Source organism: Homo sapiens, chromosome 16, assembly GCF_000001405.40.
Source record: "Homo sapiens chromosome 16, GRCh38.p14 Primary Assembly".
Lineage (NCBI taxonomy): Eukaryota > Metazoa > Chordata > Mammalia > Primates > Hominidae > Homo > Homo sapiens.
This window is the reverse complement of record NC_000016.10, coordinates 73,891,625-73,909,310: the sequence shown is the minus strand read 5'-3', so window position 1 is coordinate 73,909,310 and position 17,686 is coordinate 73,891,625. Positions and strand designations below refer to the sequence as shown.

At 39.2% G+C, this 17,686-nt stretch overlaps 1 protein-coding gene across 1 annotated transcript in view; it reads left to right on the top strand.

Moving 5' to 3' along the window:
- Positions 17,381-17,686, top strand: part of ZFHX3 (zinc finger homeobox 3) — a 1,109,046-nt gene continuing 1,108,740 nt past the window's right edge. The window contains exon 1 of the mRNA NM_001386735.1: positions 17,381-17,660. The gene's annotated coding sequence lies outside the window, so the exon portion shown is untranslated. The remainder of the gene's footprint in view (positions 17,661-17,686) is intronic.

Below are 17,686 nucleotides of genomic sequence, written 5' to 3'. Positions count from 1 at the left end.
CCAAGATCACACCATTGCACTCCAGACTGGGAGACAGAGTGAGACTCTGTCTCAGAAAAAACAAACAAACAAACAAACAAACAAACAACAAAGTGAGTTTGTTTAAAGAGAACTTCAGTACTTTCAACAGAACACAAAAGAATTGTATTACTCCAGGGCTCACCATTAAACTGAATCATAACCAAGTTGGTTTGGTAGAAATGTACCATTTTCAGTATATGTGTCTGGTTTTTGAAACCTTTGAATGAATGTTTGTTTTGTTTGTTTGTTGTTTGTCTCTAGGTAGACGTGTGTATGTGGGTGGGTGTTGGGTGTTAATTATGGTAAATTGATGATGATAGACATTTGTTTAGCTGACAGAGCCACTGAGCAAAGTTCTATTTATGGTCAGGGAAGATACAGAAGCAACAGCAGGTACAACACAAGTAAACCAATGCCATGTCTACCATGCCTGGTCTAGAGGGATATGATGGAGTGTCAGTCAATCACTAGAAATTCCCAACCTTAGAGTGAGTGGTATATACTCATTAGCCATCCCCAATGTCTTTGGTTGGCTGCTAGTGAGAAGTGTTTGGATCCTGCAGCTTTATGAAATACAGAACTCATGCCCCATGTTTTCAATTGTTACCCTGCTCGGTAAGCATAGCATTCATTTGTTCTTCTTGAACATTCTGCCTTTGTATCAGGTTCATTTGTTCTTCTCCTTGAACATTCTGCCTTTCTATCAGGTTCCAGGTAGCTTTTCCTTAACTGCAAAATGCCCTGCCCCAACCCTAGAGAGTACATTTTTATTAAAATGTCCCTGAATATGTCTATTTATATACGTTGTGTTCACTACGAGTATTTGAGGGGAAGCTTTGATCCTAGTGAAAATGGCCATGAGTGTCCATCACAGCTGGTGACCTGTAATTCAAGTAAGTTCCCTGACCCATAAGGAAAGCTGCAGGGGAAATCACTCAAGGCAGTCAGTGTGTTGATCCCTTGCCAGAGGGAATGGCTATAATGGTGGCTTCATCCTCTAGAGAAGCGAGTAGTTCTTGAGTTTTAGGGGCCATAGTCTCCTTCGAGAATCTGATAAAAACTGTACTTACTCCCCCCCCAATACCCCCCACATTTTGCAAAGTAATTCAGGGGACTCTTTACAGTCTCTGAGGCTCATCAGTATTCCTATTAAGGTAAAACTGTTCAGGTTAAGACACTTTCATTTAAAGAACCCACACATTGAACAATCTGTGTATTAAGATAAAATTTCATTTTTGGAAATTATCAAGTTGAGTGGCCATGATAAATGACCATCATATTTTGTGTATCTTGGTTTATCCCACTTCCATATCCTGCTTCTGCTTCTTTCCCGATCATTCTCTGATTTTGGTTCTCCTCTAACTCTCAGCTCTGCCCCATGTGGATATTTGACTCCAATTTCTACCCAGGTTACTTTCTTATTCTAGTTCTTGCCATTGAAATATATATTCTATTCCTACTCAACTATGATTTATTCCATCTGTTTCCCACGTGCTGTGGTTTCAGTAGGGGACTTGACAAATCAGATGGCGGCACTTGGAAGAAAAGGGCTTTAGAATAGGTTAGGTAATTTTGGTAGTGGTCATTGTGCCACAAATAGAATGATCCCACTTTCATTTTGTCCATATCGAAATGCAAAGAAAGACGGTCGGGGGGAAGATGTTGTGGTGACATTTTACCGGCACAGAAGTTTTGATGTAAAAGAAAGAATATTGATGTTTTACCAAAAGTTTAATATATAATAAGTCACCATGCTACATAAACTATGATCCAGGAAATGAGGCACTGACTTTGTTTTCAAGGGTGTTTAACAGGAGCTTTTAGTTTTAGAATGAAAGTCTGATCATCCATAGTTGGCTCTTCAAGTTATTTAATTCTGTGCCACAATTTGAGGAGGGTCTGTGGAAACCAATGAACATAAAAACCAATGAAGTGTCCATTTCAAGATACACCTTATACACCTTAGAATTAAGCAACTTCAATCAATGGAAATCAATAGAACGTTAGGAAGGCCAAGGAAACTATCTGGCAGGAGAGCCATGAAGTAGTGAATTAACTTTTCATGCCAGGATCAGTATATTTCACTGCAGTCCTGGGGCTCCAGAGACTCACTCAGGTGAGTAACCTACATGTGATTTCTTGGTTTTTAACAACTTGAGGCCAATGTTCTTGTAAAACTGCTGTGTGATGCCATCTGCTCTAGGATCGGAGTAGGGACAGAGCTTACTTTGATGAACATAGGCTCCATCAGGCATATGTGAAACTTTCCCAAATAGGGGATATTATATCTTGGGTGCTTTCCTGAAGAGTGTTTGGTAGAGATTCTCTGTTGAGATTTTTGGTCAATGACTATGATATGTAATTATGACTCAGTACATCTGAATACTATAAATTATTTTAATAACTTTTATAACTTTATTTTATTTTATTTTATTTTTTGAGACGGAGTCTCACTCTGTTGCCCAGGCTGGAGTGCAGTGGCATGATCTCAGCTCACTGCAACCTTTGCCTCCCAGGATCAAGTGATTCTCCTGCCTCAGCCTCCCTGGTAGCGGGACCACAGGCGCCTGCCACCACTCTTGGCTAATTTTTGTATTTTTAGTAGAGACCATGTTAGCCAGGCTGGTCTCAAACCCCTGACCTCAAGTGATCCACCTGCCTCGGCCTCCCAAAGTGCTGGGATTACAGGTGTGAGCCACCGTGCCCCACTTATAACATCTCTTTTAAACAGTTTAAATATTAGGTTAATGATATGCAGTAAACAGCTTCTCATTTGATACAGCTTTTTAGAAGACTAAGAGTCTATCACCCATTTAATGCTAATTCTTGTCCACTAAAAAAAGAAATGACAGGAAATTTATATGATTTATAATATGAGAGATTTAGGCTAAATATCAGAAATAATTGTTAAAATCACACTAGCATATGAATGGCTAACATAAATGACATTTTCTGGAAGTCTTGAAACCATAACCATGGTTTTTATACTTGTCTGGGATGGCTTAAATGTGGCCCTGCCAAAATATCAGAGAATTTTTTAGTCAATTTTTCTGAGAATAATCTATTTTAAAGTATTAAAGGCCAGGCATGGTGGTTCACCCCTGTAATCACAGCACTTTGTGGGGCTGAGATGGGAGGATCGCTTGAGCCCAGGAGTTTGAGACTAGCCTGGGCAAACTAGTGAGACCCCATCTCTACAGAAAATGAAAAAAATTAGTGAGTACAGTGGCAGACACCTGTGGTCCCAGCTATTCAGGAGTCTGAGGTAGGAGGATCACTTGAGCCCAGGAGGTTGAGGTTGCAGTGAGCTGAGATTGTGTAACTGTACTATAGTCTGGGGAACAGAGTGATACCCTGTCTTAAAAAAAAGAAACAAACAAACAAAAATAAAACCCTGAAAATTGATCAAGGAATTAAAATATTCTTAGTTACACATATAGATCTCTAAGTTGCCTATGTACATTTTAAAAGTTATATTTTATAGTATTTGTCCTGTGCATATGAGCTCTTTGCAAATAATTTTGTGTATATAAAAGACACTATATATAGTATGAGAGGGAAGGTTTTAGGAAAAGGGGGCTCATGCCTTACATTAAAGTGTCATTTATATCCTTTACTGTCCTTGTAATATTGATGAAGATTTTATTGTATTTTTTTCACCATTAAAAACTCACATGGGCCGGACACGGTGGCTCACGCCTGTAATCCTAGCACTTTGGGAGGCCGAGGCAGGTGGATCACGAGGTCAGGAGATTGAGACCATCCTGGCTAACACAGTGAAACCCTGTCTCTACTAAAAATACAGAAAATTAGCCGGGCGTGGTGGCGGGTGCCTGTAGTCCCAGCTACTCAGGAGGCTGAGGCAGGAGAATGGCGTGAACCCGGGAGGTGGAGCTTGCAGTGAGGGGACATGGCGCCACTGCACTCCAGAGCCTGGGCAACAGAGTGAGATTCTGTCTCAAAAACAAAACAAAACAAAACAAAAAAACTCATACGTACACACCTCATTCCCAGTACAATGCCAAATAATTAATCAGAACAAGGGAGGTCTCATGAGATAAGAAACAGAAAAACCTCCCTGACTGTGTTGAGGAGAGAAAAGTGAAAGTGATATGTTCAGATTTTTGCAAACTTTCTAATTAATTAACACATGAAGCCATCTTCACTCTCTACTTGAGAATTCTGAAGATGTCAAAGAAGATGACTCTCTGTCATCTCCATCAATAGTAGGTTAAGTTAATGTATGAGCTAGTGACCTAGAAATGGGAACATTGAGGCCAGGCTGTTTTACACTGCAAGGGAAGGTATTTGGATTGAACTTGCTTATAAAATGTTTTTCATTGCATATTATATATCATGCATGTTGATAATTGCCAAAATTCATTTATTTTTGGCCTAAAAGGTGGCAGTGTTGTCTTACAACTTAATTTTCTTGTGTGTGTTCTGTAAGCTATAGATGTTCATTCATCCTTGCTCTAGTTTATGCATTTTTTTCTTTTTCCATAGGTTATTGGGGTACAGGTGGTATTTGGTTACATAAGTAAGTTCTTTAGTGGTGATTTGTGAGATTTTGGTGCACCCATCACCTAAGCCATATACACTGCACACCATTTGTAGTCTTTTATCCCTCACCCCACTCCCACCCTTCCTCTTAAGTCCCCAAAGTCCATTGTATCATTCTTATGCCTTTGTGTCCTCATAGCTTAGTTTCTACATATCAGTGAGAGCATAAAATGTTTGGTTTTCCATTCCTGAGTTACATCACTTAGTATAATAGTCTCCAGTCTCATCCAGGTCGCTGCAAATCCTGTTAATTCATTCCTTTTTATGGCTGAGTAGTATTCCATCTATATATATACCACAGTTTCTTTATCTACTTGTTGATTGATGGGCATTTGGGTTGGTTCCATGATTTTGCAATTGCAAATTGTGCTGCTATAAACATGAGTGTGCAAGTATCTTTCCCATATATTGACTTCTTTTCCTCTGGGTAGATAACCAGTAGTGGGACTGCTGGATCAAATGGTAGTTCTACTTTTAGTTGTTTAAGGAATCTCCACACTGTTTTACATAGTAGCTGTACTAGTTTATACTCCCACCAGTGGTAATCAACTCAAGATGAATTAAGGACTTAAATATAAGACCTGAAACTATTAAAAATTCTAGAAGATAACGTTGGAAAAACCCTTCTAGACATTGACTTAAGCAAGGATTTCATGACCAAGAACCCAAAAGCAAATGCAATATCAACAAAGACAATTCGTTGGGACTTAATTAAACTAAAGAGCTTTTGCATGGCAAAAGGAACAGTCAGCAGAGTAAACAGACAGCCTACAGAGTGGGAGAAAATCTTCACAATCTGTACATCTGACAAAGGACTAATATCCAGAATCTACGGTGAATTCAAATCAGTAAGAAAAAACCAAACAGTCCTATCCAAAAGTGGGCTAAGGACATGAATAGACAGTTCTCAAAAGAAGATACACAAATGGCCAACAAACCATAGGAAAAAAAATGCTCAGCATCACTAATGATCAAGGAAATGCAAATCAAAACCACAACACATCTTACTCCCACAAGAATGGCCATAATCAAAAAATCAAAAAACAGTAGATGTTGGCGTGGATGCGGTGATCATTTTGTGCATTTTAAAATGGAGGTAATTAAACTTACCTCAATGTTGTTGTGAAGATTAAGTGAGATAATACATGCAACTTGTGTAGAACAGTTAAGTGATCATAAACTCCCAATATTATCATTAAGATTCAAAAAAAACAAAGCCGCTGGGTGCTGTGGCTCATGTCTGTAATCCTAGCACTTTGGGAGGCTGAAGCGGGAGGATGGCTTCAGCTCAGGAGTCCAAGACCAGCCTTAGCAACCTAGTAAGATCTCTTCTCTACAAAAAAATACAACAATTTGATGGGTGTGGTGGCATGTGCCTGTAGTCCCAGCTACTCAAGAGGCTGAGGCAGGAGGATCACATGGGCCTGGCAGGCTGAGGCTGCAGTGAGCCATGATCATGCCACTGCACTCCAGTCTGGGCAACAGAGCAAAAGCCTGTCTCAAAAACAACTACCACCACTACCCATAGTATTTGTCTATCATGTCTACCATGCCTGGTCCAATAGAAATACTTCTAGAGAGACATGATGGAGTGTCAGTCAATCACGAGAAATTCCCAACCTTAGAATGAGTAGTGTATACTCATTACTCATCCCCAGTGTCTTTGGTTGGCTGCTAGTGAGAAGTGTTTGGATCCTGCAGCTTTATGAAATACAGAACTCATGCCCCGTGTTTTCAACTGTTACCCTGATCAGTAAGCATGGCATTTGTTCGTTCTTCTCTGAGAACATCTTGTCTTTGTATCAGGTTCCAGGTAACTTTTCCTTGACTGTAAAATGTCTATGTGGAATGAGCGTGAGGTCAGTGGTGATGAGAGGAGTACGCCCTGGACCCTCAGCCTCATGGGTGACTACTTACACCACCAAATTCAAAAACAACTTTTTTTCCTCTTTGGTAACTTGAAATATCCTAACAGTCACTGGATGGAGGCTGAAATGTGACCTCTGTAAAACAGTTTCTGCATTTTGCTGCTGAGACTATTACTTAATTCAGCTCTCTATCCTTAATGCTTAGTAAATGTCTTTTACATAGTAAGTGCTGGTATATATTAAATTGCATTGAACTGAGTTTAAGGGATGGAGCAATTTCTAATTTCACCCTGTTTTTCTGGAAATCTTATTACAAGAGATATAAATAAATTTGGAGGCAAAGGAGTATATTTCAAGATACTTGGAAAAGATGGTCATTGTAAGAAAATCTCTTACAATGGTATCTAAGTTATTATTAGTGTATCAGTCAGGGTTCTCTAGAGGGATAGAACTAATAGGATATATGTATACATGAAAGGGAGTTTATTAAGCAGAACTGACTCACGATCACAAGGTGAAGTCCCACAATAGGCCGTCTGCAAGTTAAGGAGCAACAAAGCCAGCAGTGACTCAGCCCGAATCCCCAAACCTTAGAAGTGGGGAAGCCGACAATTGCAGCCTTCAGTCTATGGCCAAAGGCCCAAGAGCCCCTGGCAAACCACTGGTGTAAGTCTAAAGAGTCCAAAAGCCGAAGAAATTGGAGTCTGATGTTTGAGGACAAGAAGCATCCAGCACAGGAGAAAGATGAAGGCCGGAAGCTTCTTCCACCTTCTTCTGCCCCCTTTTTCTAGCCGCGCTGGCAGCCAATTGGATGGTGCCCACCCACACTGTGGGTGGGTCTTTGGGAGGGTAGGTCTTCCTCCCCCAGTCCACCAACTCTAATGTTAATCTCTTCTGGCAACACCCAGAGACACCCAAATACACCCAGAAACAATACTTTGCATCCTTCAGTCCAATCAAGTTGACACTTACTATTAACCATCACAATTAGATGATGTGAAAAATCTAAAATAGGCAAATGAGATCCTTGGGGGCAGAGGGATACAAGGGGAAGAGTCTGGCCGTTGGTCAGACCTGTAGCAGGACAGCTCAAATCATGCTGAGGATGACCTTCAATTAAGCAGCTTTCATGAGCTCTGGCTGTCTCCAGCTCTGGTAAGACAACATAGAGCTTCTGGCAGGGCGCGGTGGCTCACACCTATAATCCCAGCGCTTTGGGAGGCCGAGGCGGGCGGATCACCTGAGGTCGGGAGTTCGAGACCAGCCTGACCAACGTGGAGAAACCTCATCTCTACTAAAAATACAAAAAAAATTAGCTGGGCGTGGTGGCACATATCTGTAATCCCAGCTACTTGGGAGGCTGAGGCAGAAGAATCGCTTCAACCCAGGAGGTGGAGGTTGCAGTTAGCCGAGATTGCGCCATTGTACTCTAGCCTGGGCAACAAGAGCAAAACTCCGTCTAAAAATAAATAAATAAATAAATAAATAAAACATAGAGCTTCCTGATTGGAAGGGGCTGTGCATTCCCAGCTCTTCTCTTAAAGAACCGAATTTTGGGCTGTGCGTGGTGGCTCATGCCTATAATCCCAGCACTTTTGGAGGCCGTGGCAGGTGGATCAGGAGGTCAGGAGTTCAAGAGCAGCCTGGCCAAGATGGTGAAACCCTGTTTTTACTAAAAATACAAAAATTGGCCTGGCATGGTGGCGGGTGCCTATAATCCCAGCTACTTAGGAGGCTGAGGCAGAGAATTGCTTGAACCCAGGAGGCGGAGGTTGCTGTGAGCTGAGATCTGGCCACTGCACTCCAGCCTGGGTGACAGAGCGAGACTCCGTCTCAAAATAAACAAACAAAAAAATAAAACAAATTTGATTTTTGTTAAGGTGGTCTTTCTAAAAAAAAAAAAATTCTCAAGAAAGAAATTCTCTTGGACTCCTGGTATTAATGGAAATTATTTTTAGCCATTTTACATGGCATATTATTTAAATTTGTACAAACATTAAGTTAGACATTAATTTTCTATGTATATAGCTTTTATACAGCTGTAAAACTAAACTAAATTTACCGATTACTATATAAATTTACTATAAAAACCATAAAGTTTAAATTAACATTAATTTAATGTTCTATTTGATGTTTTGCTGAAATAAAGCACTGATGGTGGATTTAATAGTGGAGAAATACACTTGCTTATTTGATATTTTACGTAAGTTGATTCTTTGGATTCTGAGCCTGATGGGATTATCACTTTAATGATTTTAATTATCATGGTTATTTTTCCGTTTACACCCTGCATTCATTCTAAATCACTGATCCATCATTTTGAGCTGATCAATTTAATAATGCAACTCAGAATACAGTATTGAAAAATTTAAAAATGTGCTTTAATGAAAACTTCCTTGCTATTATCTTCCACATTTATTGAAAATGAATTGTCATAAATTCTTATGGATAAGTATGGGAGTCTCAGGATTAATTTGAAACGGGAATATTACAGTGGGACTGTTACGGTAAGGGTACTTTGGAATTTAGCTTCTCTGAACTAGTACATGCCGTGTGAGGTTGGAGTGTTCCCATTATTTTCCTCCATTCCACCTTCTATGAAACCTGCAATGTCCTAAAAAGTCATTTGGCAAGGCCCTATCATTATGTATCCAGTCGGCGTTTGCTTTTTTCTCATTAGATGCAAACTATGAGAGGAACGTGTTAATCTACCACACTGTCATTTTCATGATGTCAAATCAAAACCTCGATTTGTTACATGACTTAAGAACCGACATCATATTCTGTGAAAATGGCTCTTGACTGATAAGTATTACTCCCCAAAAGAAATTTTGTTTTTATAGTGTAAAGAATTCCACATGAATATCATGGTAAACCTGGCATGACTATTTTGGGTTTGGATTTTTCAAATTTGTGAAACTTGAGTGTAGCACGTGAATATGTTTTTGAAGGAATGCACTGAAAGGCAGGGATAAAGAAAACTTAAATAGAAGGAAGTTTCACTGCAAAATGGATATATCTGCTATTCTGACTGTATATAGAGTTGATTTAAAAAACAAACAAACAAACAAAAAACAACAACAAACCTGAACCATAGACATCTAGCCATCTTTGTTACAAAGGGTAGTGATTCCCAAACATTTAAGAACTGAGATAACTGCAAATTATCTAGCTCAGCAAAAGAAACTTCAAAGGCAAGACCCTAACCAAATATGTCAATTGGTATTCTGTGTTTTTCTGAGACGGAGTCTCACTCTGTTGCCTAGGCTGGAGTGAATGGCATGATCTTGGCTTACTGCAACCTCTGGCTTCTGGGTTGAAGCGATTCTCCTGCCTCAATCTCCCAAGTAGCTGGGATTACAGGTGCCCACCACCACAACTGGCTAATTTTTCTATTTTTAGTAGAGATGGGGTTTCACCGTGTTGGCCAGGCTGGTCTCGAACTCCTGACCTCAGGTGATCCGCCTGCCTTGCCCTCCCAAAATGCTGGGATTACAGGCATCAGCCACCGTTCCTGGCCAGAATTGATACTTTATAACTTAGGTCATTTTATTGCTAATTTAGTTGTTTTCTAAGCTTCTCAAAAATACCTTAATTCTATTAGTAAATTTTTACTCTATGGCATTGGTTCATCTTGAAAACAAACTCTGCGTGTATGTGTGTTTAAATAGTAATTTTATTTGAAGGGGCAAACGAAACTGCCTAAGAACCCTAGGACAGAGCTAGCTCTGCCAGTTATGATATCAGACATCTTCGAGAAGTCATTGTCTCTGAGCCTCAATTCTTATATCTATAAAATGGAACAAATATTACCTGATCTGCCTCTTCAGGGAGTTAGTTGTGAGTTTACTGCACTTTGAAAGGGTGAAACTGAAGTACATACACCTTGATATCATACTATATACAGGCCACAAATCTGAATCAGAGAAAAATTTAAAATTTATGTGTTTGGAATCATTAAGATTCTCTAATTCTTTCATTTCTATTGTACAGCTCCACCCATTATTCCATCCTTCAATTGCGTTATTAGAAAAGTTATTATAGATTTGGATCAGCAAACTGCAGGCTTAGTCCTGCCTACCACTTTTTTTTGTGAAGAAAGTTTTATGAGAACACAGCCATGCTCCATGGATTATGTATATTCTATGGCTGCTGTTTCATTATGAGAGTGGTTGAATAGTTGTGAGGAAGACTGTATGGCTTGCAAACCCTAAAACATTCACTGTCTGACTCTTTACAGAAAAATGTTGCTACCCCTCTAAAGTCCAGGACCAATTATAATCCACTTTTTGGGAACCTACATCCTTGATAGATATTAATTTAAGATCCAAACTATCACATAAAGAACTAGGTGACCCCTGTTAATAAGGCTGCAACCTTACCCCTTCTCCTCGGATCCGTAAGTCCAGAGATGTGGATGTCTTGAGGTCTTGTTGCTTTTCTTTATTCTGTCACTGGCTTGATTCTTTGAAAGTATATTCTTGGTGACTTGAGTGATATTACTGAAAATTTTGGTTAGAAATTGAGGCACATTTTAAATCTAGTTGGTTACCAGTATATAACAGTGTGTGTAGGCTACTGTCTCCCAATGGTTGAGGCTCAAATGGCCTGTTGGAGAAAGTAAATTACTAACCCAGCAAATAGACAATGTGGAAATGTAAGACACAGTGGATAAGTTCACATTTTAAATGCATTTATCTATTTTTCCCATTTCCAGATTTTCATCTGTTTAAATTTTTAGGCTTGATATGCTATATTCAGGTGAATTGGAAGTATCTAGTGTGAGAGATGGGGAATTTAGCAGTCTCTGCAAGTTTACTTTCTACTAATTTAGAAAAGTCAGAGGTGTCTCATTTAAAATATAGAATTTTAGAGCTAAAGTAGACCTCAGAGATCAGCATTTCCCAACCTTTTTTGACCCATAGACCATTTTCATAGTAATTTATAATCTTGTCAACCCTCTTAGGAATTTTAAAAATCAGTTCATCATTTTTGTATGGTATGAAACGGTAATTTTAAGTGAAAACTATTTTATCTTGGATTAGTACATTATTAAGAATTGTATTATAATTTGCTTTTAGGACAGTCATTAATGATAGCATTTGTAAACAAATATTGCCTTTTTTAAGTTAATGAAAATACTTTAAAAATTTACCTAAAAGACATTATAAAGGGAAAAAGTATGAATTGTTTAAAAAAAAAGAATGTGACATTATTTTCATATGTCATTTTGGAATTGAAATGTGGGTTAGTATAAAAAGGCAAAAATTGCTTTCATGATGTGATATCTGAAATTCTCAGATATTATGCTATAAAATTAATTTATTTAAAAAAATTTTGTATTTGTGCTTTAAACAATGCGATCAGGGCGGTGTGGGGTTTCCCTTCTCTAAAGAAATAGTATTGACGGAAAATGTTAGTGAAAGCCAAATTAAATACAATTTTGTGGGTTGTATGTGTATATATACATATGTATACATACATATAGTTCGTTTTAAAGTTTTTCAAGTAATAGAGTCGTATGTTGATATATAAGAATTTTGATCAGATAGATGTCTCCTGTGAACATCTGGAAGCAATTTGGCACAATTCTTACTATTTTAATCTCCTCATGAAGCTTCATTTCTTTTTTCTTTTCTTTTTTTTATAGGCAAGGTCTTAGTCTGTTGCACAGCCTGGAGTGCAGTGGTATGATCATTGCTCACTGCAGCCTCAAACTCCTGGACTCAAATGATCCTCCCGCCTGAGCCTCCTGAGTAGCTAGGACTACAGGCACGAGTGCTAGTATGCCTGGCTATTTTTATTTTATTTTGTAGAGACAGAGACTTGCTATTTGCCCAGGCTGGTCTCAAACTCCCAGGCTCAAGCCATCCTCCTGCCTTGACCTCCCTGAGCCACTGTGCCTGGCCATTCATTTCAATACGCTCCCTACTTTATTTTTCGGCTTCTGGTATTAAACAAAGTTCCATAACGATTATGTACTGCATTGCACATGACGAGGAATAAGATAACTCATGACCCAATAATGGTTGAGGACCCATGGGGCTGATGGACCTTTCAGGGCACACACCTCTCCTCACCACTGACCTCATGCTCATACCACGTAGGCTGGGAGGCTCTTGAGCGCTTCCATTTTAAAAGGAAAGAGTATTTCAATATTATTTCATTTATTTATCTTACAAAGAAGTAGAACCATGTTATTGACAAGAGTTCCACATTTTATTCATTTTATGTTCAAGGAAAATAGAGCCAAGAGACGTTAAATGATATTCACAAGTTCACATAGTAGCTTAATGGTTGAGCCAGACCACAGCTCAGACTTCCCCTAAGAGCACCATTTGTATATTTTGACAGTACCGCCTTGCATCTTGGCCCCTGCCTGTGTGTGATTATATAGTGGTACTATGCCCTGCACAAAGCAAGCAGAGTAGTCCTGGTTCTGCTTTTTAACTAGTAACTCATAAATTAATTCACTCAACAACATACATTGTGTTTGAAAGCTGTTATTCAGCAGAGGGAAGCCTGTCCATTTATTTCTTAGGTGTCTCTTGAGATGTTGATTCTTCATGTGCCTTCCTTTATGATATACTAATATTCTAATGGTAATTATTTATGTTTAAGTCCAATCACAGCAAATACCTATTCCATGGAAATCACTTGGTAACAAAGGGTATTGAACCTGAACTAGTACACCATTTATTGGAGGCAAGTCATTGCCTGAATAAGTTTACAAAATAATGAAAGAACTTGGAGTTTTTGCTAAGTAGACACGATTTCTCTAAAACACTACAGAATAGTTTGTTTAAACCAGTAGTATAAATTTAGACAGGATTAAACAGAGTCTTTGGTAGGATATGGTCTCTGTAGGTCAGTCAGGTAGAATTCATTCAAGATATGTGTCCTTTTTTTTTTTTTTTTTGAGACTCTGTCGCCAGGCTTGAGTGCAATGGCGTGATCTCGGCTCACTGCAACCTCCGCCTCCCAAGTTCAAGTGATTCTCCTGCCTCAGCCTCCTGGGTAGCTAGGACTACTGGCGTGCGCCGCCATGCCCAGCTAATTTTTGTGTTTTTAGTAAAAACAAGGTTTCACCATGTTGGCCAGGATGGTCTCAATTTCTTGACTTCGTGATCTGCCCGCTCGGCCTCCCAAAGTGCTGGGATTACAGGCATGAGCCACCGCACCCAGCCAAGATATGTGTCCATTTCTAAAGTTGCTTTGGTCATGATTGCTATAAAGAAAGGATCTCTGGGTGTCTTCAATTGATTGATCGTTGACTGTTCATTCAGCATATGTAAGCCTGTGTGCTCTTGGGCTATGTCATGAGGCAAGCATCTCAGGGATGCTTTTGGGGGACTGGATGGCTGAGGGTATCTCCTGTCTTCCATCCCTTTAGGACCTGCTAATATCAAGCTCCTCAAGCAAACTAAATTATTATGGGAAGACTAAAACACATCCTTAAACAATATGTAAAACCCCTAAAAGTTTACACTCCTTTGCATGATTAAGGGCCATAAAGTTCTTTTTTTTTTTTTTTTTTTTTTTTTTTTTTAAGATGGTGTCTTACTCTGTTGCCCAGGCTGGAGTGCAGTGGTGCAATCTCGGCTCACTGCAACCTCCACCTCCCAGGTTCAAGTGATTCTCGTGCCTCAGTCTCCTGAGTAGTCGGGACTACAGGTGTGAGCCACCACGCCCAGATAATTTTTGTATTTTTAGTACAGATGGAGATTTGTCATGTTGGCCAGGCTGGTCTCGAACTCCTGACCTCATGATCCGCCCACCTCGGCCTCCCAAAGTGCTGGGATTATAGGTATGAGCCACCGCACCCGGCCAAGAACCATAAAGTTCTAGTGGGAAACTCGGTTACAGAGTCTTATTCATGAAAAAGTTACAGATGATGCCCCACCTACAGTAACACAGTGCCATGCTGAACTTACTACCCAGCTTCAGCAACTCTGAAGAATATTTCCTATTCTTTGACCCCCAGATGGAGTAAGGAGAGTGGGGAGAGGAAAGAGAATAGAGAAATAAATTCAGGCTTTTCTTGCCTTTCTTCTTCTGTCTCAGTGGGAGTCACCCACGGCAGATTATTCACGTGACTGTGTTGTAAATCGTAGGTTTTTAATATCTGAACTACTGAGTACAAGCATAACATTTAAATAAAAATAATGCAGTTATTTATCTTCACCAAATCTAGAGAATGAGAGCTGTCTCTTTAATAAGGTAATGGGGTAGTAAATTTCAAGCTGAGGTAGGCAGTAACAAAGAGAGTGATCTCGGTACTGCCCTAATGTCAGTGGAGTGGCTTAGGAGAACACCTTATTAGTTCTAACAGGCTGGTTAGCGCGGGGTCACCTCTCTGCCTCCATCTTTCCCAGCAGGGTCACTCATCTCTGGGCTATATTTGGGAGCAAAGAAGTGAGGGGGAGGGGAAGGAATATATTTAGTGCTTCTTGCATCTCCCCAGCATTTAGAGCTATTTATTTTTATTTGTTGTCCAATTGTGTTATTCTGTCTCTCCTCCTCTCTCCCTCTCTCTCCCCATTCTCTCTCTCTTTCCCTAGCTGCTCCATCTTCTCCCTCTGTAATATGTCTCTCTGCATCCTCTGTGTTGAGTGGAAGCAGAAGCCCTAGCAATATTTCCCCTTTTTTATTATTATTTTTTTCAGTTTCAGAAATCATCCAAAATAAGTGTCATTTATACATCTGTATTTGAGTGAGTGTTTACATTGCTAAAAACATGAACTGGGAGAGGCCCAGCATTGCTAAGCTTCCAGTTCACATGATTAGCCGAGAGAAATAGGAGGGCAGAGAGATACCCGTAGATATACCTTTTCCTGTCTTAAAAAATTGAGATTGATCACATTTTTGAATTGTGTAAATCAATAGAATAGTGTAAATCAATCGCTGTTTAGAATTGTGCTTAATATGTTTTCATAAAAGAAAAAGATGATCTAACTATCCCCTTTTTAAACATATATTTTTTTCTGCTGTCTTTGTGTTTTTTTTTTGTTTGTTTGTTTCCCATCATAGCTACCAACATCAACCCTTTCTCCTCCCCAGCCCCCAACCCCCATTCTCCATCCAAAAACGAATGCAAAGAAATACTATTAGGCTGTCTGGTTATGTATTTTTTATGAGGCCATACAAGACGCTGGCTGACCCCTTGCAGCTCATGTTATAAGCACACTGAAGATGCTTTTCATTTGGGTTTTTCTTTTCAGCCTGGATGACCTCTATTAAAAAAAAAAAAATAAGGCAGGGGTGGGGTAGTGGGAAAAGGCCTAATATGTGACCCCAGGGACTAGTCGCTTCAAGAATTACATTTAATTCTTATGATAATATTGAAATATAATGTTCCTGGGTCTAATGTTTTGGTTATTTTCTCTTTCTCTTTATTTCAGGGACTCATTGATGAGTCTTGTCATAGATAGTTTTCATCAATTTTGGGTACTGAGCTATAACTCATGCACTAGGGTCAGATTCTTAAAATTACCTTTTTCCCTCCTCTCAGAATTCAGGTCATGAATACAAAACATTTCTCTTCTCATAGTTTCTCTGAGAGACACAGAGAAATTAATTTTTCTAATGTGTGTCTGCCAAGAGTTCTGTTTCAAATAAAGAAACAATTTTTATTTTGGCATTTCCTTAACCCACCCTCAGCAACTGACCCCCAAGTTCTTTATTTATTGGTGTAAAGGCGAACGTCTTTTTAACTCCTTCCTTCCTTTCTTCCTTTCCCTGCAAGGTCAATTGTAGATATATTACAGTGTTCTCTCATATGTGATATGTGCTGTGATTTAAATAATGAACCACATTTAGGTCTTTGTGCAGGGTACATATAGATGCTGTAATTCCTGTTTTCACATTCCTCTTACAATTACTGTGCTTTTTATAATGCCCATATTAGTTATTTAATGTCTACTTACATAAATATTAAGGAGCTTATGACTTCACCATAAAAATGTTTTTCTTCCCTCTTTTACAGTGAAACATGCTTCCTACTATTCAAGTTTAGGATTCAAAACCAATTTGTAAATGTATCCCTCTGGCCAGGTTTTAGAATTATATTCCTGTTAAAGTTTCTTAGGCCATCAGATGTCTTTGTGTCTTTGCTAGTTGAAATGAACAGGTTGAGAAATGGAATTAAACTCCATGCCATTCATTGTAGTTGGAAAATGTTTTTATTCCTTTCACTTAACAGACCATCACTTAATTTCTTTGAATCAGCTGCTGTTCATCAGTGTTGCCGCATCTTGCTTGTCTTCGAAGGCAGGTTCCTTGGAGGGACAGTAACATTTCACCGGAGCTAATAAAGTCAATTAGGATAATATTATACAGTAGGCCACTAGAAAATAAGGTGTATTTTGCACCAATCATTCTATGTTTTAAATCCATACCAGCTGTACTTCGTAAGGAATATGTAGAAAGAGCTATTATTTGTGACATCAGCTTGCATATATATATATATTTAATTGCAATTTTTCTTTTTCTTCCTTTTTTTTTTTAAGTTGTTGCAAGAAAAAAAAAGCCAGAAAATTTGTGGACATGTTCACACATTTTCAATACCACGAAAGTACTGGTGAAAACTGATCAAAGCTGGGAAATTCATTGCAGTAGCTGGAACCCCATCTCGAGTCAGTCCCTTATTACCCAGGTATTGCCACAAATGTGATTCAGCAAATAAAGCCCCTAGCTCGCTGCCTGGCCCCCTCTGCAACCAGGGAGCAGCAAAGTGGATCCGCAATGGGGTTTTCAGAAGGACTCATAATTTTTCTACATTTGCTTGCACCACAATCTGAACATTTTTGACATCTGGCTTACTGGTGAAAACATACATATGTCTCTGTGTATACATATAAGTACATATATTTTTGTCTTTGTCAGTCATTGTATGTGAGAGGGATGTTTTAAAACAGAGTCTCCAGGTTCTCCTTTGTAAAGCATTAAGCTGTGACCCTCCTCCTTTCTTCCCTCCCCCTGTAGCCCTGGACTTCATGATGCTTCCTTGACTGCTAGCTTAACATGGAGTTGTCTTTTTTATTTTTTTTATAAACCCAGTCACAACACAGAAAGAGGAGGAGGAAGAGAGAGAGAGAGAGAGAGAGAGAGAGAGAGAGAGAACTAAAAACCCTGAAGGATGGTTCTCAAAAATTCTAAAGGAACCACAGGGAATTCCTTTTAAGAGCAACAGAAAGCAAGCTAGCTGAGGTAAGGTAGATGTGGACAGCTTTTCT